The following is a 20935-nucleotide window of genomic DNA, read 5'->3' on the forward strand; positions in this document are numbered from 1 at the left end:
TGGACTGCAAGGCACAGTCATAGCTCACTGCAACCTCCGCCTCCCAGGCTCCATCGATCTTCCCACCTCAGCCTCCCAAGTAGGTGGGACTACAGGTTGTACACCACCATGCCTGGCTAATTTACGTATATTTTGTAGAGATGGGGTTTTGTCATATTGCCCAGGCTGGTCTCAAACTCCTGGGCTCAGGCTATCCGCCTGCCTTGGCCTCCCAAGTGCTGGGATTACATGTGTGAGCCACAGAACCCAGCCAAGCTAACACATATTTACTGATTGTTTATTCTGCCTCCAAGACAGTAAAGGGTAGAACTGCCTAGATGTCTTGAAAACTAGCCCAAAAGTGGACACGACGAAAACACTTCCATTGAATGGATGCCAAATAGATTTATTTTCCATATTGGGCAAAAATTTAAATCAATGTCTAGTTTATTTCTATATATTATAATTATTATTTAACTTTGAAAGTATTTTCATGTGCACTTGAAGGTTTTTAGTACATTAATTTGAAGAGTTTTCCAGTAATTAATCAGATAATCATAATCTTCTAAGAGCAGGTGTGGGGTATGACCCAGCTAGCATGCCACCTGTTTTTAAACAGCTTCATGAATTAGAATGGGTTTCACCATTCCACAGTATTGTAACAAACAAAGAAGAATATGCCCTAGAATGAATCTGGCCCATAACATCTTCTTAGATGTTTTATTTACTATCTGGCATTTTTCAGGAAAAAGTTTGCTGGATCCTATTGTACAACCCAAATGCAAGTGAATTGAATTGCTTTATGTTGTAAATAGGAAAATGAGGCTATAAAAACTAGGTGGTTTGCCCCACGTCATACATTATTTGTGGATTAAAATAATCCCACTTTATATTGGCTGTCATATCAGCTTTAATAGGAGAAACCACCCAGAGACATATTAATAAGGAGAGAGTTCTAGAAGAATCATGAGGGGTTGAACAGAGTTGATTTTTCATCAAATTCAAATAAATGCCTTCAGTCAATGAGATTAAAACCCAAGAGTTTCCTAGCAGTGAACAAGTAAGTATGTACTCAGACTATAAGGTCTAGAAGCCATGATAGGGATGGAAACATGAAAGACTATTTCTCAGTGCTAATTCTCTCTGGGTACAGGTATATGTCGAATGGATGAGGCCAATTCTCCTTGAGTATATATACCTTGCTGTAGAGAGTCTTGTTCTTTTCAGCCAGAGTGAAATCAGGGGTATCATAGGCATAGCAACCAATGCCTTTAAGCCAAGTCAAGTCTTCTTTATATTTTACCTGGGAGAAGAAGAACATCAAAGAGTTCTAAGAAGCCATCTCCAAACAGCAATAAGTTAGTATCTATACAAGTGGAACAAACAGAAGCACTACCCCTTGAGGTATATAAAATAATAAAGTATTAAAACAATTATTTAAAAGACATTTTCAGTAATACTGACCTTTGGTATATTGTTTTATAACATATGGAAGTTTTCCATTTTTAATACTAATTAAAGCAATTCAAATTTAACAGGCATACTTTCCTAGATAGTATATCATTAGCTTGGCAGCTATATTTTCATACACAGAGCTGAACTTTCTAAGTGAGCATTGTTATGTGTCTTAATTGCTTCATGAAGTTGTCACTTCATTGGATCAAAATAGGCTATTTCCTAGATGATATATATCACTTCCAGTCCTGTAATATGATATCATACATTTAGGAGAAAAATGAGGTTTATAAATTTGAATATATATTTCCTTCTCCCAAGTTGAAATTCACTCACTTAGCAATTGAGTTTTATGATTTAAACATCCACACACAAAATCTAAAATCTAGCCAAGAGTTTCTTCAGTTTTTATGCCATGTATGATTTCAGAGCTTATATGGGAATATGAATTTATATGTGAAAATAGAAGATGTCAACACTCACATCACTGACTGTGTCAGTGACTGCTCGGTGGTGGAAATGCTCTGGACGATCAGGAATGGACCTCCAGATACCCAACTGGCTCATGTAGTTCTCCTTGTATTTTATCTGTTATAAAAAACACAAAGACAGCTGTAAGTCTTACCCAAAGTTAATGTAAATATGGCTTCTTTCTGGAGAATTTCAGAAGAGGGAGGTTGCTAAAAAATATATGTATATGTATATGGTGAGTTGTAGAGCCCAACACAAGTAGAAATATTTAGGGACATACTTTACTGATGTCATCTGTGACTTTGCGATGATAGACAATGTCTAGGGCATCTTTCACCGTGTGGTATTTCCCTTTGGTCTTTTGAAATGTTTCTTTGTAGCGTAGCTAGAAAGAGAAAAAACACATGAATTACAAAAAAACTACCAAGTTAAATAATTGAGCTCTTTTAAGCATGAACTCTCTTGTCTTCTCTCTGGTTTTCCCATGAATACATTTAGGAAAAATTTAAAAGCTTATTTCAGACCCTAGAAGAGAAAAAGAACACTAGGGAAAACTAATGAAATCCAAAGCAACTATGGAGTTTAACCGATCATAATGTATCAATCTTGGTTCACTGATCATGGCAAATCTACGATGGTGATACAGGTGTTAGCAACAGGAGGATATGGGTGTTCCCCTGGGTGTGGGGCATGTGATAACTCTGTACAATTTCGGTAAATCTAAGACTACTTAAAATAGAAAGTTTATTTAAATATAAAACATAAACCAAAAGTTCATTTGAGAGAAAAAAAAAACCCAAACAAACAACATTGTTGAGCCCAAGATATGCTAATGTACATGGAAAAGGGAAAAAGGTTTAGCTTCTAACTCCTAGTATTAAAATGCCTTCTTCACTAAGCAGTCTTAAAACTTCATTTCATTATAATCTTTATCTTTGTGATATTTCAAGAGAAAACAGCTCTGATTCTAACCTGAGAATATCATAGATGATTCATCTAATCTACACAAGATGGGTGCTTCTCTGCACAACCTATTTTCAACGTCAAACAGTTCTTTTCTTTTGGGGTTAACTGAGCAAACACACAGTGAAAGATGTCTTTTCTTTGACTTTGTAATTTTGTTTTTTAGATGGATCATAAGATTGCTTAGATCTACTTGTGGGGCTAGCCATGGTTAATACTGAATTAAATGCCAGATACTACCCTTGTTACATTAGACTATTGTAAAGATTAGAGTTATCAGAATTGCTACTGATAAAGCCCTAGGGATGGTGCTGTCCAGTGGGGCATGATGAATCCCAGGGCCAATTTCAATGTGTGGCCACCGCTGTAAGATATTAATTCAGCTTGGTTCAAATAAATATTCAACAGTAACTTTGAAGTGATAATGATGAAGGATGTCACAAGAAGACTAAAAATATCCTAGAAGGTAGATTTTGAGGGGAGTATATGATTTTTTCCCAGCTTACATTTTAAGCACTAACTGGCATTGCCTTTTTCTAACTAGTAGGCTCTTCTCTTCTCCAAATAAAAATTCCTAACAAAATTATGGAACTGAGATATTGTTCACATTTGCTGTGCCTTCTCTTTTCTGCCTCGGGCTTACTGCAATTACCTTAAGATGCCTTGAAATCCTAGAGCTATGTTGCTAAGTTGAGGGGGTCATGAAGTTGGCTTGATTTTTGGCTCAGTTTAAGTCCCAACATGTCTAGTCCTCTAGGGGTGTGGCTCTGGTAATGGGTACAGTGAATTCCTGGTTGGACCCTGAGACACAAAACCCGTAAGGATTGGCTATTTACCTTGGATTCACTACTTCACATCTTCATTAACAGATTATTAACAGATTATTACCATTAAAAGGCAGCCTTGCCCTCGATTGTGTGATATGGAAAATGAACATCTGTCCCCCCTAATTTTAACCACTGTGTCATGCATCATTCACATGATCTATATGCAATTAAGAGAAAAAAGGGAACAAACATTTTCTGAGTAACTAGGAGCCCAGCAGCATGCTAGACACTTATACATTATCTTGTTTGGTTTTATTTAATTATCACAATTCTCATTATCATTCCACATATATGAAAAGAGACTCGGAAAAATTAGACAGATGATATAGAGTCATACAGCAGGCAAGTAACAGCATCAGGATTTGAATCCATGTCTGGCTGACTGCAAGACCATAATTTTATGGATAAGTAAATTAACTGTCAAGTATCCCCAGAAAATGCTGCTGAAGAATTATAAGAAAGGGTCATATTTTTATTCAGGAGAGAATTGAGAAGAATAGGCTTCTGGTATCTCTCAGCTATTTTGCCTGACTAGTATTGTTTGGGCATTTTTTTTTCTCTTTAAAAAAATGTGTGTTTTTTTCCTAGGCCATGGTTTAGAACTATGGATATGGCTGAAATATGTTATGTTTCTTAGGTACTTCAACCTCAGCTCTCCCCATCACAACAGAAGAAAAAAGGAAGGGATGCATACATCACTGGCATTCCAGTAAGCCCTCTTGGCTCTGATGAGGATTGGCGTATCTGGAACCGGAGTGTACTTGTCTTTCATCTTTTCATATTGAATCTTGTACTTTTTCTGAGAAATAAATGCAGAAGAGAGAGACAAGCTTAAGTGTCTTCCCAATTTCCAACCAAGCCACCTACAGGTCTTGTGGAGGGGCACAATGTGTTACACACTTTAAGAGAATAGCTCTGCCTTTTGTGTTTTGATGATGCTGAGCACCATTTATAGTAATGAGCTCTCTGATCAGAGGTAGCAGGGGAAGGTTTTAACAAAGTATTTTTCTTTTTACCCAGTGCCTCAGTGCTGAATTCCCATCTTACCTCACTGACCATGTCCTTCACGTCTTTAGCATGCTTCAAGGCTGTGGTCTGGTTTCCAGCGTGATGATGGGGTCTCTCTTTGGTGGCAAGTTCAACATACAGATACTGAATAATAGAAGAAAGTGAGGTGTCATAGAGATAAAGCATTTAGTATTTAGCATTCAGTCCACTTCATTCATTTCTAACCATTCAGTGGGAAGGTGGTATCTGCTTACTGTCCTGATGTTTGTTTGCTTGTTTTTTTGTTATATGCGTTTCTGTTCATTTGTTTCTCTGTGTCTCATATTTGAAAACAAATACACATACTCCAGTTATCTAATATGCCTACCACTGAGTATGATCCAAGCAAAGCCATGTGATAAAGAATGCTAACAGAAGTATGAGAAGATTCTGATAGACCCCTCAACATATTTTCCCCTGATTTTTGCGTGACTGCATGAAATACAGCTTCGTTTGTCTGCGGATAACAGGAAGATTCTATAGAATGATCAAGCAATTATTTTCATTACTCCAAAACACAAGTTTTATAACACTTAGGAAAGAAGATGTGGCATCCCTTACCTGAGTAAAACACAACCATAATTATCATGGCCCAAAAGAGAACTGCTTCTTCAAGTGCAGTGTTAATGGGCATGAGGTTGCAGCCAGGACAACCAAGTGTGTGAGTCTGCCACTGGCCAGGTGAGGCCAGGCACATATAATCACCCCCTGTGATGCCTGAGTGGCAGGCTTATGAACCTCTGAGCTTACCTGACTCTGAAGCTTCTGCCCTCGCTTGGCTCTTAAAAGATCAGGAGTATCAGGAACTGAAGTAAAGATTGACTTCTGCTTCTTGCCTGCAGCTCTGTAGACCAGCTAGACATAAACCAAGTTATCACCATCATTTCTGTTTCATGGGCATGTTATGTTCTCTGCAGATGCCTTCACTGCTTTTACATAGAAAAGGCAGGAGCCCTCCCACTGCAACGATTGCAGTTTCTTCCCAATAAACCAACCTTTTATTTACCTCCTGCACCCTCCTTTTCTTTTTTCCCTTGTGTCAAAACAAGAGACATTCTCTAGCCTGTCCAAAATTCAAGACTCCTGCTGTGTTCTTGGTCCCATTTGCAGTTGTCCCTTCTAGTACCCTATTCCAGCAACTGTCTCCATCTCCTCTGTATCTTCCACCCTTCCTGTTTTCCCAATCCCCTCTTTTCACCTGCAAACAGACTCAAGACCTCCTGTCATTAATTAAGCCTTTTCCAGTCTCTAGCCAATGGCCTTCATTCTTCTTTTCTCAGCCAAGTTGCCTGTGTTTCTTCTTTGCCTCTCTTTTGATTAATTTCTCAAGACCATAGTTTGGCTCCCACCTACCCACATCAGTGAAGTCACACTCATTGAGACTACCAAGAACTTCATGATTGCCATGAACACTTCTCTGTAGCAACTGAAGCTGCTCAGTGTTTCATTCCTGAAAACTCTCTTCTCTGGCTTCCATTCAACCATTCTTCCCTAGGTGGCTTCCTGTCTTTTAGACCTCCTCATCAGCCTTCCTCTGGTTCTGCCCTCATGCAAAGGCTGCTGTTAACTGGGGTGAAGGATTGGCCCCTTTCACCCAGTACATTCTCCCGGGGTGATCTCATCTGTACCTGTGATCTCAAGCATCACTTTGAGATTGATAACTTCCAAATCTACATATCCAGTGTCTTTCCTGAGCTCCAGACCCAAGTTTTCTACAACTTTCTGAATTTAGGTGATTTACCATGTTCAATATATAATTCTTTATATTGCCTCTATCTCTATCTCAAATTGCTGCTTCTCCTATTTTCTCTATTTTGCTAAATGACTTGTTGATATCCCAGTTACTCGGGCCAGAAACTTGGGGGAGTCATCCTAGGCTCCTCCCTTATTCCTACATCAAAATGGTCATGAATCCTGGGCTCCTCACTTTGTGATATTCCTGAAATCTGATTATTTGCCAACACCACTGCCCTAGTTCAGCCTTCCATCTTATTTTCTACATGTCAAAACCACCTGCTCAACTCCTCTATTGGACCACCCCACGTGAGTCACCCATCTTTCAAAAGTCTGAGACACATATTTTCTTAATGCTCAAATCTATTCTTCATAGAAATAATTCTTCAATGATTTTTCATAAAGTCCAAGGTCATTTATATAACACCTACAAGTCTTTATAACCTGGCTCCAACCCATGTTTCTATAATAGCTTCATTTACCAGCATCCTTCCACACCCTCCATGTGCTATGTAAACTAGTCCCAGTTACTGGAACTCATTATGGCTGCTTTCACAGACTGTCTTTCCTGCCTTGAATGTTCTTCTCCCTTTTATTTGCCTGGAAAACTCCAAGAGTCCATGCTGTCTTGACTGTTCCTATATAAAGCCATTTATCACACCAATGCCTGTTTCTTCTCCGAGACTAGGGCACAGCAGTTCAGTGGTACGATCCTTTCATCAACTAGAGCTCAGACAAAGGGCCTAAAAAATAATAGTTGCTAATAAATGTTGAAGGAATTTAATGTAATGCGGCAAATGAGAAAGAACAAATGGATACCAAATAAATTCTAATCATGGATATAAATACCAGTTGAACAGATAAAACGTAAGAAACACAGGCACACACATCAATTTCTTTAAATCTGAATTATATACAACTGCAAGTTAAAACAAAATGTAACTCATGTGTTTGGGGCTGTTTTTTCATGTTACTATTGAAAGAGATAAACTAAATGAAAACTTAATGCTTCTTCCAAGCTAAATTTTGAGTAAAGTAAATCAACAACTCTTAGAATTTTATGGCTAAAAGGAGCTCAAATCATCATTTAGTCCAACTCTTCAGTTTAGGAAATTAGGGTGCTAAAGTTGTGAATTACATAAGATCATATAGCTAATTGGAAGTAAATCTGGGACTAAAACCCAATTCTCCCAAGCAATTTTTTTCTTATTTTTAAATTTTATTTATGTATTGATTTTTAGAGACGGGGTCTCACTATATTGCCCAGGCTGGCCTCAAACTCCTGCACTCCAGTGATCCTCTGGTCTCAGCCTCCCAAGTAGCTAGGACAATAGGTATGTACCACTGTGCTTGGCCTCTATGCCATTTCTAGAATTATACATTTCACTGTGTATTATATTTCCCCTGTACTTAGGTATGCATTGCTTATGCTTCTTGGGACAACGTCCCTGCTTCCTAGTACTACAAATGTGTATATGTCAAGAATCTATACAATTGAAAACTCAAAAGTCGGTAACTTCTTTTGGCCATCACACTTTTTACTAACTCAATGTTTTCCAAACTTTCCTGATATTAACCCTCCCCCGCTCTCCATGGTTTTTATTAAAAACAGATTCGTAGGCTGTCTCCCAACCCTTCTAAATTCAGGGGAGTGGCTTGGATCAGCATTTTATCAAGCCTGGGTCATTCTTATGGAGAGGCAAATGTGGTGCAAACTGCTCCACTGAAAAATATCCATTCTTCTTCCTCAGTGCTGATGCACAACTTGCCCAAAATCCCTCTGGGAACTGGGAAGAGGAGAAACTAAAGTTTTAGATAATTCTGAGCCCAGAAAGCCAAAAAGAGTAAAGGTATTTCAGAGTTATCTTTACTCTGAAGCACTATAAGTTACCAATTGTTTTAAATTATTACTTGGTAGCTGGAGGAGAGATGTGGTGCGGTGGTTTTCAACACAGGCTACATATTATTAAACAGAATCTCTATGGAGCATCTAAAAGTGTATAGATGCCCAGACACGGAGAATCAGTCTGGTGTGGAACAAGGGGTCAGGGCCCTCTCTGGGTGGATTTTAAATATTCCACAGGTGATTCTCATACTGAGCCAGAGTGGAAAAGCACAACTTTAGCAGGATAAAAATAACGTAAGCGTTCTAGTCTGAGTGCGAGTGCGGGCTGAAATAACACAGTGAAGCTTTTAGGAAAGCAAATTGGCTCAATGTTGCATTTGCAAAAGCTGAAGAGTTAGTCATCCTCTGATTCTGGCTCACTGAGTGTAGGAAGCTGCATATCCCTCCACTGAGGGTGACATTTGGTATTTCAGGGCATCGCTAAGAGCCTAAGATTCCTAATCAGCAGCCATCAGAGCTACTGAGAAGGATGAAATGGCCTGGAAGCCAATGCTCAGCTGGGTGAAGCCACAATACAGAATGGTGAATGCACAAACTGATGAATGGAGCTACAATACCAGAGTGACAGTAGAATGAGAATGGCCAACTGACCTATAAGAAGAGCAACCATTTACACTTGTGAAATGCCCTTTGGCAAACATGCACATCTATTATGGCCAAGGCACTATGGGACACATGTAAATAACATGGGGTCCAATCATCAAGGAACCAACACTCTAGGTGAGAGAATCAGATCTATTCACAAATAACTGCAATATATCAGGAGCCTCAATGCCAGATGAAAATGAAACTAAGTAGTCTGAATTGTACTGAATGGGCAGCAGAGCAGGGAGCCACTGAAGACTTCTCCAATGGCACTGCCATGCTCGGGGCTCCTGATAGCAGGAATTAAAGAGAAAGAAAATTTTGAAATAAGTTTAGAGACAACAAAAATAATAAGTAAAATTATTATTTCTAGGCCAGGCGTGGTGGCTCACGCCTGTAATTCCAGTACTTTGGAAGGCTGAGGCGGGCGGATCACCTGAGGTTGGGAGTTCGAGACCAGCCTGGCCAACATGGAGAAACCCCATCACTACTAAAAATACAAAATTAGCCAGGCGTGGTGGCACATGCCTGTAATCCCAGCTACTCTGGAGGCTGAGGCAGGAGAATCGCATGAACCCAGGAGACAGAGGTTGCAGTGAGCCGAGATTGCGCCATTGCACTTCAGACTGGGCAACAAGAGCAAAACTCCATCTCAAAAAAAAAAAGAAAAAGAAAGGTCTTTCTAATCTATAAAATCATGCAAAACCCCTCATCAGCCCTAGACATAGGAAGAGCCAGTATGAATATGCGTATCTTACCAAAAGGGGGCAAAATAAGTAAACTGAGGTAAAGTGCAGTTGGTTGACTTGCTTAGACATAGTAGCCATTCCACAGTTAAGAGGGGAAATATTTTACCTGCCGCAGTTGCCTGAACAGCGATCACTAGAGGAACTAAGAGCCTTGTGGAGTAATTCAGTTTGTACTGGTCAATTTGATTGACTTCAATGACAAGTAAAGCGTCCTTACCTCACTCAGATGTGTCTTCAGTTCTTGCACTTTTCTGTATTCTGGAGTGTCAAGCACCACTTTGTATTTGTCTCGCATCTTCCTTGCCTTATCAGTGTATAGGTAATTAGACTTAAAAAAAAAAAAAAAAACAGAAATACAAGTTGATTAATCATTTAAGGGATTCATGTCATATTGTCTTTCAAATGTCTGGCATGTGTAAGCTGAGCAGGGCTTTCATGTGTCCTGGATGTCTTCCCAGGCAGGAGCAAAAACAATTGTCATTTAACTAAGCTCAGCACCTTTCATAGGAGGCACAGATCACATTAAAGTGATAATCTGCTCAAGTGAGTTAATGATAAATTTCCCCTTAAAAGTAGCTGCAGGCTAAGATCCCTTCTGCCTAGCCCTGGAGGCTGGTGATGGGGGCATCCAGCTGTGCGGGGGGTAATTATGCATTGTGATGATGTGCACTCACCCAGAGCTTCCGCAGGTGCCGGGAGCGGACCATGTCAGGAGTGTCATACAGGAAGCAGCCAAATCCCTTCAGGACCTGCAAGTCCTCTTTGTATTTAATCTGAGAGGCAAACACAGAAATATAGCTGGTCATAAGCAAATGTAAGTCAGGAAACACAAAAGATGGAGTAGCAACACTTCTTAATTACTGTGTCTTTCATTTTGGTTCATCTACTTTTTTTTTTTTTTTTTTGAGACAGAGTTTCATTCTTGTTGCCCAGGCTGGAGTGCAATGCCAAGATCTTGGCTGACTGCAACCTCCGCCTCCCGAGTTCAAGCGATTCTCCTGCCTCAGCCTCCCTAGTAGCTGGGATTACAGGCGTACATCATCGTGCCTGGCTAATTTTTGTATTTTTAGTAGAGACAGGGTTTCACCATGTTGGCCAGGCTGGTCTCGAACTCCTGACCTCAGGTGATCTGCCCACCTCAGCCTCCCAAAGTGCTGGGATTACAGGCGTGAGCCACCGTGCCCAGCCAGTTCATCTACCTTGTACTCTTAGTTTACTTGCACCCAAATAAGTCATGTTTTTTTTCATTTAAGTCTCTAACCCTGAGCTGAGGAGAGAACACTGCTATTATTTTATTACTATAACATTGATTGGAGAAAAGAACAGATTGAATGGATTGGTCTTTTAGGAGGAGAGAACATACAAGGAGAATGAAAAAAATGGCAGCAAGAAGTTGCTAATGAGGTCAGAGTAGGGATGAGTGAGAGGAAAATACTCAACATGACCTGGGATGGAGGCCACACAGGGAGTTAGGGAGTGAGGAGTTGGAATGATTCCATGTTGAATGTAGAATGGTGGTCACTGAGTGATCAAGAATGATGGCAATTCTGTCTTCCCCAGGTGGTCCTCTTATTACTGTTTCCATAGCTGTAGAATTGTGGCATCCTTCTCCCACACTGTCTTACCTCCAACTTGTACTCTTTGTTTAGAAGTGCTTATCAGAAAAGGCTGTTCAAAGACCACTGGTTGTTTTAACTGCTGAAAGCAAGCCTGCGTCTTGGTAAGACTACTCCAGAAAGACCCCTACGAGATGCTTACATCACTGGTGATGTCTCCCACATAGCGGCAATGGATCACTTGGGGTGTGTATGGCAGAGAGATCATGTGGCCCTGCATCTTGAAGAAGTCTGATTTGTAGATCAACTAAAGAAAAAAAAATACCCCAAAACATATGTATTAGAGACCGAATGATTAACATTCATCCCTAGTCTCTACTCCCTGTCTTTCCTAAGAAAATACCCACCTCACTGACAGCCTCTTGTGTCTTCTTGACTTGGCGGATCTCAGGGGTATCGGGAGTTGTATGGATCTTGTCTTTCAGTTTGTGGTACAATTCCCGATACAGTCTCTACGTTGGAGGAAATATCATTACAGGCATTTAGTAGGGGACGACGAGGGCATCTACTGACTAATCAAGAATAAAATATTTTACATAAGGAAGAGGGGAGGAAATATCGAGGATATAGAAAATGATTGAGATTAGGAAAAAAGGAGAAAATGAGAGTTATTTCATTTAGGTGAAGAATTCTGAGCACAAAGCCTTCCACTTTCTATCAGATGGTTGCATAGTAGGATCAGATATGCAAACCAATAGTTGGTGTAGAAAACCAGGATCATGAGTCAGACTAAAATGCAACCTTATTAAAGATTTTTGAATATAAATGTCAAAAGAAGAAATTATTTCTTTAGAAAAGTTTTGCATCATAATCTATGGAACCGAGTCTCTCCAAGGCATTACCAAATACAAAAAACCACTACCAAGAAATATCAGTATCAAAATGTGACAATAAGGACCTTTTTCATTTTTTGCTGGTATGTAAGTTTACAACTGAAATAAGATTAATTCTTAATGCATTTCAAACAAAGCCATGGCTATTGAAACTCAATATGTCTCTTGGAGAATCAGCATTCAGGTACCTCGCTGGTAACATTGTTGACTCTCCGGACGTGGACAAATGGAACATCTTTGGGGCCAAGTGTATACCCATATGCCTTGGTGTGTTCATAGGCTTCTTTGTACTTGAACTGCAAAAGCAAAGTCAGAATGAGATCAATGATGGGTAAACAAGGACCAACATTACATTTCTCCAAATAGAAAAGAGATGTCACCTTTATTTGAAAAATTGCTCTTTTTAAGGATTAAGTATGTAGAAAAGTCATTGACAAAATTTCAATATTAATCCAGGCCTTGAAAATTATGTGTTGGAAAATAAAACCAGGCCAAGAAAAGAATAAAATTTGACCTTGCCTAGGTGAAATCTGTTTGTCGGAAGGTATGCAAAATGCCAGAGAAAAATCTTTATTTTTAGCCCCAGTGTGGCTAGAAAATTAGAAAATACAAAGAAGAAACAAGAGAATGTATTTAAGACTGACAAATAGCTTCGTGGACTGATTTTAACCAACCATTTTAACACATCCTTTAGGTGTTAGATTATTAAATCTGTGACTGTCTACTTTGGAAGTACATTATTGAGCCACAGGTTATTGGGTCCTTTCTGGCCACTAGGTTTGATTCCCAGGAATATGAAGGGTAGCACAGAGGGAGAGCTTATTATTCCACCAGCGGCTCATTGTGGTCTGCAGGCCAGACTTACTGGGATGGCCACGATTTCCCTAAGCCTTCCCCATGGGGTAAATGCATCAAGTCCCAGTTGAGTACTTGTGAAAAGTGGAGAAGGGCAACATGAGGGTCATCATTTGAGTAAGCTACAGGTAGTAAGAGCCTAACTACCCCTCTAGCCTTCTGTGAACTGGGCACAGAGGATAAGTAGTGAGCTAAATATCAGCCAGCAGCTAGGCAAGAAGTCTTATTTTCAAAGGAACACATGGTGATGTTATATCTTCTGCAGTGAAACATAGCAGAAGGAAGACAATACTATCACCACACCTCAGTAGTGCGTGTGTGAAGTTGCATTTCCAATAAATGGCTTGGGATAATTCAGGGTGCATCTGTGCTAAGTGAGGCCAGCAGAAGTAGAGGCATCATGACAGCCATGGGCCCTCAGCCAAGGCTCCCACGAACATTCTGTTCTAACCCATGGGGCTACCCAGGCACTGCTGAATTGCAGAAGGAATCAATTGCACAGCACCCCTCAAAAATATGCTGTCTCTCCTCTCCAGCTCCCATCATTCTATCAGGTTGAACCTTGAGGGTGAGACTGGAGGATTAGAACAGGCTATTAATTAATATGAGTCTCCTGCCACCCCACCTTCAGACCCATCTCAATGAGGAGGAGACCACTCACATAACTGCTCATGTAACGGGTGTCCTTGATGTGTTTGAAGTGAGGAGTGTCACCTGGAAGTCTATATCCAGTGGGCAGGGTGCGCAGGCTGGTTTTGTATAGATTCTGCAGGAATGAGGAAGAGCAGGTTAAATGACATCGGGCATCAAGTAACTGATCTGAGCTTAACAAATCACATATAGCTCATGTTACAGTTTTGACTAGATACTTAATACACTTATGCTCACTGAATTGATTTCAGGAGAGAATTAAATACATTCTAAGAGTCATAAAATGAGTCAGATTACTCTTCACCTATTGTTTTGGAAAAATAGAACAATGAGTGAAATGGTTTATTGAAAGTAGTTCCTGGCCAGGTGTGGTAGCTGACATCTGTAATCTCAACACTTTGGGAGGCCAAGGCAGGAGGATTGCTTAAGGTCAGAAGTTGAGACTAGCCTGGACAACATAGCAAGATCCCACCTCTATAAAAAATTTTAAAATTAGCCAGGCATGGTGGCGTGTACCTGTAGTCCCAGCTACTTAAGAAGCTAAGGTGGGAGGATCACTTGAGCCCAGGAATTTGAGATTGCAGTGAGCTGTGATTGCACCGTTGCACTCCAGCCTGGGAGACAGAGGAGACCCTGTCTCCAAAAAAAAAAAAAAAAAAAAAAAACACTAATTCCTCTGTGCTTCCAAACATATGCCCAGTTGGCTGTATGGCATCTAGCAAGAATTTGGGAAATGCAGAGAAGATAGGTAACCAAGTTTCACCTCTGCCATTACTCCATCCTCAGGTGATGATATGCAAGCCATCACGAAGATATAGCCAGGCACATGTTTGTATTACCCTCTCCTGCCCCTTCCAAACACAGTGTGTTGACATCAGGCCGTGAAGAGGTCAGGATGCATGTGTTCATGGCAGAAAGGGAGGACATGGAGGAGTGTCTGTCTGTGATCTTAAATACTCTGTCTCTTGGAGTTTAGGATTAAGAATTACATTTAAAATATGAAAAACCAAATTATTTTTATTTTATTTTTGAGACAGGGTCTCACTGTGTCACCCAGACTGTAGTGCAGTGGCACCATCACAGTTCACTGCATCCTTGACCTCCCTGGGCTGAGGTAATCTTTTCACCTCAACCTCCCAAGTAGCTGGGACCACAGGTGCATGCCACTATGCCTGGCTAATTTATTTATTTTTGTATTTTTGTTCAGACAGGGTTTCACCATGTTGCTCAGGCTGGTCTTGAACTCCAGGCTCAAGCCATCTGCCTGCCATGACCTCCTAAAGTGCTGGGATTACAGGCATGAGCCACTGTGCCTGGCCAAAATTATTATTATTATTATTATTATTATTATTATTATTTGAAACGGAGTTTTGCTCCTGTTGCCCAAGCTGGAGTGCAGTGGTGCAATCTCAGCTCACTGCAACCTCCGCCCCCTGGGTTCAAAAGATTCTCCTGCCTCAGCCTCCCAAGTAGCTGGGATTACAGGCATGCACTGCCATATCTGGCTAATTTTTTGTATTTTTAGTAGAGATGGGGTTTCACCATGTTGGCCAGGCTGGTCTCGAACTCCTGACCTCAGGTGATCTGCCCGCCTCAGCCTCCCAAATTGCTGGGATTACAGGCATGAACCACCGCACCTGGCCAAAAATTATTTTTAATACACAAGATGGGAAATAACATGAAAAGTTGAGACCAAATCAGCACCATTGGGTAACATAGAATAGGTAGGTTAAATATGCAGGTGGGATCCAGGTTCTTTCTCTTCTGAATTCCAGCAACAATTTCTAGTTCATCTTTTATTGAGGTTAAAGGCCTTGTCTCTGTTATCTTGATTTTCAGCTTTTTGAAAGCAGAGAATGTATATTGGCTTTCTTCTTTGTAACTTGTAAATATTGCTAAAACATGCCCATTATGTTGGTTTGATTGCTCCATAGGGGGATCCTGGCAGCTAGGAGGAAAGATAGATTATGCTCTGTGTTTTTGTTTTTTCACCTCATGTGAATAGAACAGCATTTATACAAGGTCAGGTCAAGAGGAAGCAAGCTCAGCTTGCTTCCACAGAGGCTGATGGAACGGATTTCTGCTGGGCACTCTCAAGTTCTCACTGCTCACCGAACTCTGGAGCTTGTATGCATGAAGGGCCCGGTCCAGATCCACGGTTTTGGTAGTTGGAGCCACTTTGCCTCTGACACTGTGCACATAGTCATAGTGGTAGACAGCCTGGTGCAGAAAGAAGCATTGTTAGAAGCAAAGAGAATGGGAACCCAGGTTCCTCTTTAAAAAAAATAACGGTAGCCTGCTTCCCTTTGCCTGGAGAACTCATCTGACACATTACTGTGGCTTGTCCAACAGGATCAGAGCCAGCGTGTGGACACTCACACTGAGAAACAGAAGAGATGGCCCAGGCACAAGAAGAGGAAGGGTGGGCATTTTACCACTAGAAGTTCCAAAATAATAGGTCTCAATGTTTGCACTCACTGGCGGGATCTGATATTGACTTACCAACCTGTGGAGTTAATAAAGAAAGAGCAGCTTTGTGCCTGCCCTGCCTGCTTTGTGTCAGGCGTCATAGTGGGTGCTTCCTTACGTCCCCATTTTATGCATCAGAATGGGAGGCTCAGATGGATTAAGTGCTTTTCATAAGCCTTATAGATAATGTGTGGTAGAGGTGAGACTGCACTCCACAACTCTAACTCCAGAGCCTGCTTGCTTCTTATTCTACCATAGCTGGTTCTAATTTATTAAATGGCCTAGATAGAAATAAACTTGCTATGACACAGGGCACAAAAAACACGTTGGAAGTGCTAAGGCACAAAGTTACTTCATAGACTCGCATCACCTACAACTCCGCCCCAGCAAACTGCTTGAATGCATCAGGTTTCAGGAAACAATAGCCAGCAGCATCTTCAGTGCTTTCAAACGCACCAACTCTGGTTTCCCAGTTAGAAAAGACTTGGCACTGCCCAGTCTATGGTTTTTGCCACCTCTGCTTGAGTGGTGGCCCTGCTTTATTACTGTCCACTTAACTTCCCCAGTGATCACTTACGTCACTTAGCTGTTTCCCACTTTTGACAGCCTGCACGTAGACTGGTGTATCTGTGACAAGCTTGTAGTCATTCCTTGTTTTCAACATGTGAGCTTTATACTTGATCTGCCGAGAGGAAGAAAACAAGCCCATGTTGGACCATTCCTTATGCTTGAAACTGCTGGTTTTCACAGAGGGTTTGGTTGCTTTTAACTCATGAGATTTATATTCATCAGCACTACTCAACAGACCGAGATGCATTTGAATTTTATAACAGTGTAACCAACACTTATATGGGGCTTCTAGAGTCTTCTAGGACACTTGATAACTACTCTTCTAGGAAAGTTTAAGCTTTCTTACTGAAATCCTCATTACAGTATTTAATTTGCGTGGAAAATCCTCTCTTTACAAATAGAGCTTGTCTATAGCATTGCAAACACTAACAAATCACACTTTCCTAAAATGACAATTAAGTGCTTGTTAATATATCCAAAATAGCCTAAAACATAGAAAGAGAAGATGCTGGTCCCTTCTCCACCAGAGGACGATGGCACACCTGGACTGCAGTTTAATAAGAATGCCATACGCCTTCCTGAGAGATGGTTGCTCTGCTCCTAGCAACTTTCTCCAGCTCAGCCACCCCCCAGAGCTGGCCTGTGACAATGTCCCTATTTTACATAACCTCCTCTTAACTCTAGACTATGGAGAAATGGAAATATACTAAAGAACAAAACAAGGCAAACTCACATCATCACGTAGATCATAAGCATGCTTGGCATGGAGGATTTCAGGAGTGTCCCAGACGTAGCAACCAATGCCTTTCAGCCAGTTGAGGTCATCCTTGTATACAATCTAGAGGGTTTTGATAGAAAGGATCAGAAAAAAAAAATTGACCATAATAACTTTAACACTAAAAACAGAGGTACATTCTAGACTCAGAAGGCTTTGTGGAATGAGGAGCAAAGGCATTATGCAAAGAGGCTCAGGGGAGCCACAGAAACATGTGTACACAGAGCCCTGCTTCCAGAGACAGCTCTGAAGTCAAGTTGGACAAATGGACATATAGGGAAGAGATAGTGGAAAAAGGCTAAGGTAAAGAAATGGGTGAGTTTGCTGCCTTCTGGGTGGGGCCGTGGGGCGGGGCCGTGGAGGGGTACTTCTTAAGTCACAGGCTTACATCGCTGATCTGATCTGTGACTTTCCTGACGTGATCATTGACTTGCAAGTCGGGGTGGCAAATCCATTCGTGGAGGCGCAGGCGGTAATCAATCTCACTGACTTTCTTCTGGGAATCCTTGGCAGTAACCATCTCTACCATGTCGGGCACGATGTGGATTTTCATCTTGTTCTTTTCATAAACTGATCTGTACAGGCGCTGTAAAGTTAAAATCACATGCCAGTTATACAGGAAATTGTGCCAAGGCATCATGGCCATACATGAGAAGTCAGGCTAACCAACTCACAGCGAACAGTTGGGGGCAGGGCAGTGACTGGTATTTTCTGACATTTTCTATAGATTAACACCAAGGGAAATTTTTAAAAAATAAAGCATTATAGCTGAAATAATATGTAGCTTCTTTACATGTGCACAGTCAGTGTCATATGCATTGGTAAATAGAAAATGTTCAGGCTGGGCATGATAACTCACACCTGTAATCCCAGCACTATGGGAGACTGAGGCAGGAGAATTGCTTGAGCCCAGGAGTTTGAGACCAGAGTGGGCAACATAACGAGATTCCAATCGCTACAAAAAAAAACCTTAGCTGGGTGTGGTGGTGCATGCCTGTAGGCCCAGTTACTCAGCAGGCTGAGGTGGGATGATTCCCGGAGCCCAAGAGGTAGAGGCTTGCAGTGAGCTGTGATTGCACCACTGCCCTCCAGCCAGGGCAACAGAGTGAGACCTGTCTTAAAAAGAAAAGAAAAGAAATGTTCCTATTAATAATACATGGCTATTTTACTTGACTTAAATTTGAAGTAAGGTCTTTGGAGTTACCCTCATGTGTTGCATAACAATGTTTCAGTCAAAAGATTATAATGCTGAGTTTTTACTGTACCTTTTCTATGTTTAGATACACAAATACTTGCCACTGTGTTACTGTTGCCTACAGTATTCAGTACAGTAACATGCTGTACAGGTTTGTAGTCTAGGAGCAATAGGCTATCCCATCTAGGTATGTGGAAGTGCACTCTATGATGTTAGCACAACAATGAAATCACATAACGAGCGGCACATTTCTCAGAATGTATCCTAGTCATTAAGGGGCGCATGACCGTACTTACATCGATGTTAAGCTTGCCAACTCGGAGGCACCGTGCTGTGTTCGGATCATCGTCAACACTTCTTGGTAACGTATAAAGAGCTTTGAACTTTTCATATTCTTCCCGATATTTGATCTATAGAGAATAAGTAGAAAGGAAGAAACAGTTTTAGAGAGTAATGGATTTATATTATTAAAACAGCATAAGACTTAATGGGAAAAACCCGACTCTGAGATCCACCCAGCGTTGGGGACAACACTTCTCTGAACTCATTTCCCCACCTGTACAGAGAGATACAGCAGTAGCGCCTGCCATGGGGTTATCGTGTGGCTTAAATCAGACTGTATCAAAAGTACTTTTAAACCACAGAGCGCTATGAAATTTTAGTTGCTGTTTTCAAAATTCCTATAGCAATACTAGTACTTTTACTGCTACTACAAGCAATTCATTTTAAAGATTATGTAATTTAAAAATATTCTCTTGTGGTAATGGCTTTGTTTTTCTTACTAAAAGGAGTGCGAGATTAAAACTGTGCTTAGGAATATCTTTGTTTTTAATAACTGAAAAGTCTGCTGCTAAGAAAACACAATCCTTGGATTTCAGTTTCTACAAGGCTTTCAAAAATACAGTGCAATCAACTTCTGTGGGATAACAATTAGTTCTTAAGCCATGTTGCCCGTTAATTAGTGTTCCATGATTATATAAACCAGGTTAAGACAGAGACTAAGATCCAATCTCATAGCACACAATAATAAAATAACAGTTCTTCCAAAACTCAGCGATTTGCACCTCTGTAACAAAAGAGAGATGGGAGTATATATTTGTGTCAGAATTCCAGCAATGCTCTTCATTGACTGGAGGCCAACCAAAATTTCCACTAGATTTTTCCAAAACAGAAAATCAGCTTCTTACATCTAATCTATTTCTCAGCTTCAAAGATGATGGCATTTAAAGGCACCGTTAAAAAAAAAAAAAACACATACACACACACAAAACTTTTTCCTAAAATAAGGTCAGAATACTTCTTTTAAAGGATTAATTTCTCTATGTTTTACCTTGCTCCAAAACCAATTTGCCAAGAATCTTGCCTCTATAATTTTGTTCATGACTCAAGGAAAAAGCCTCTTTTGAGCTTTTAAAATCTTATCTATAGTACTTTTCTTCCAAAATGAAAAGTTTGCTCCTTTTTGTAATCTTCCAAATAGAGGTGGGTCTGGGTAAAATCAAATATGTTACTGTTTCCTCCAGGTAAAAATTAAATAATTCCATAGACTGTCTAATGAAGTTTATTTCTAAGCTGTGCATCTGTAAGCCCAGTAGAGTAGTGAAATCAATTTACTGAGTCACTAGCATTTAAATGAGTAGAACAGAATGGAAATTATCAGAGTGCACTGTCTCTAGTCTAGCAGTCACTACTCTTCTGTGAGACATTTGTGCCAGAAGAAACTCAGGTAAACTTCAGGGGTGTGTGTCTGTGTATGTGAACTTGAAATAAAAAATAAATTTCCCACTGTGAGTCATGGTCAAAACATGTTTGAGAAATGCTGATTTAAAGTGTTACAGAAAATGTTCCTGATTAAGAGATAAAGTCTCTAATTTTTCTGAAGGAGAACTGGGCTAAGAATTACAATAAAGCTTACAGGGAATTTTACAATAAAAGGTTTTACACAGACTTTAAACCAACAAAGATCAAAAGAGACAAAGAAGGGCATTACATAATGGGAAAGGGATCAATGAAAGAAGAAGAGCTAACTATCCTAAATATATACACACCCAACACAGGAGCACGCATATTCATAAAACAAGTTCTTGGAGACCTACAGAGAGACTTAGAATGCAACACAATAATAGTGGGAGACTTTAACACCTCCTGTCGACACTAGACAGATCAACCAGACAGAAAATTAACAAGGATATCAGGACTTGAACTCAGAATCTCTGGGACACATTTAAAGCAGTGTGTAGAGGGAAATTTATAGC

At 40.4% G+C, this 20935-nt stretch overlaps 1 protein-coding gene and 1 long non-coding RNA gene across 48 annotated transcripts in view, besides 1 other annotated feature; one reads left to right on the forward strand and one right to left on the reverse strand.

Annotated features, from left to right (window-relative positions):
* The window catches only part of NEB (nebulin), a 249138-nt gene that overhangs the window by 50616 nt on the left and 177587 nt on the right, over positions 1-20935 (reverse strand). For all 47 annotated transcript variants that reach the window (XM_011511227.3, XM_011511226.3, XM_005246613.3 and 44 more), the window contains 17 exons: positions 18977-19090; positions 17874-18071; positions 17444-17548; positions 16718-16822; positions 15784-15891; positions 13682-13786; positions 12354-12461; positions 11680-11784; positions 11475-11579; positions 10391-10489; positions 9934-10044; positions 5493-5597; positions 4743-4847; positions 4390-4494; positions 2186-2290; positions 1918-2022; positions 1178-1282 (listed from right to left, as the gene is read on the reverse strand). In XM_011511227.3, the coding sequence (XP_011509529.1) occupies positions 1178-1282; positions 1918-2022; positions 2186-2290; positions 4390-4494; positions 4743-4847; positions 5493-5597; positions 9934-10044; positions 10391-10489; positions 11475-11579; positions 11680-11784; positions 12354-12461; positions 13682-13786; positions 15784-15891; positions 16718-16822; positions 17444-17548; positions 17874-18071; positions 18977-19090 (1893 nt within the window). The remainder of the gene's footprint in view (positions 1-1177; positions 1283-1917; positions 2023-2185; positions 2291-4389; positions 4495-4742; positions 4848-5492; positions 5598-9933; positions 10045-10390; positions 10490-11474; positions 11580-11679; positions 11785-12353; positions 12462-13681; positions 13787-15783; positions 15892-16717; positions 16823-17443; positions 17549-17873; positions 18072-18976; positions 19091-20935) is intronic.
* On the forward strand, positions 38-11683 carry LOC124906081 (uncharacterized). The gene is made up of 3 exons (XR_007087266.1): positions 38-79; positions 1864-7810; positions 11366-11683. It is a non-coding gene; the product is annotated as an uncharacterized LOC124906081 (long non-coding RNA).
* Positions 17539-18738: an enhancer, noted in NCBI's record as "BRD4-independent group 4 enhancer chr2:152410007-152411206 (GRCh37/hg19 assembly coordinates)". NCBI's record gives its function as "activates an origin of replication core promoter dependent on BRD2, P300/CBP, MED14 and CDK7 cofactors, and independent of BRD4, by STARR-seq in HCT116 cells {active_cell/tissue: HCT116}" and the evidence as "EXISTENCE:reporter gene assay evidence [ECO:0000049][PMID:35650434]".

Source organism: Homo sapiens, chromosome 2, assembly GCF_000001405.40.
Source record: "Homo sapiens chromosome 2, GRCh38.p14 Primary Assembly".
Classification (NCBI taxonomy): Eukaryota; Metazoa; Chordata; class Mammalia; order Primates; family Hominidae; genus Homo; species Homo sapiens.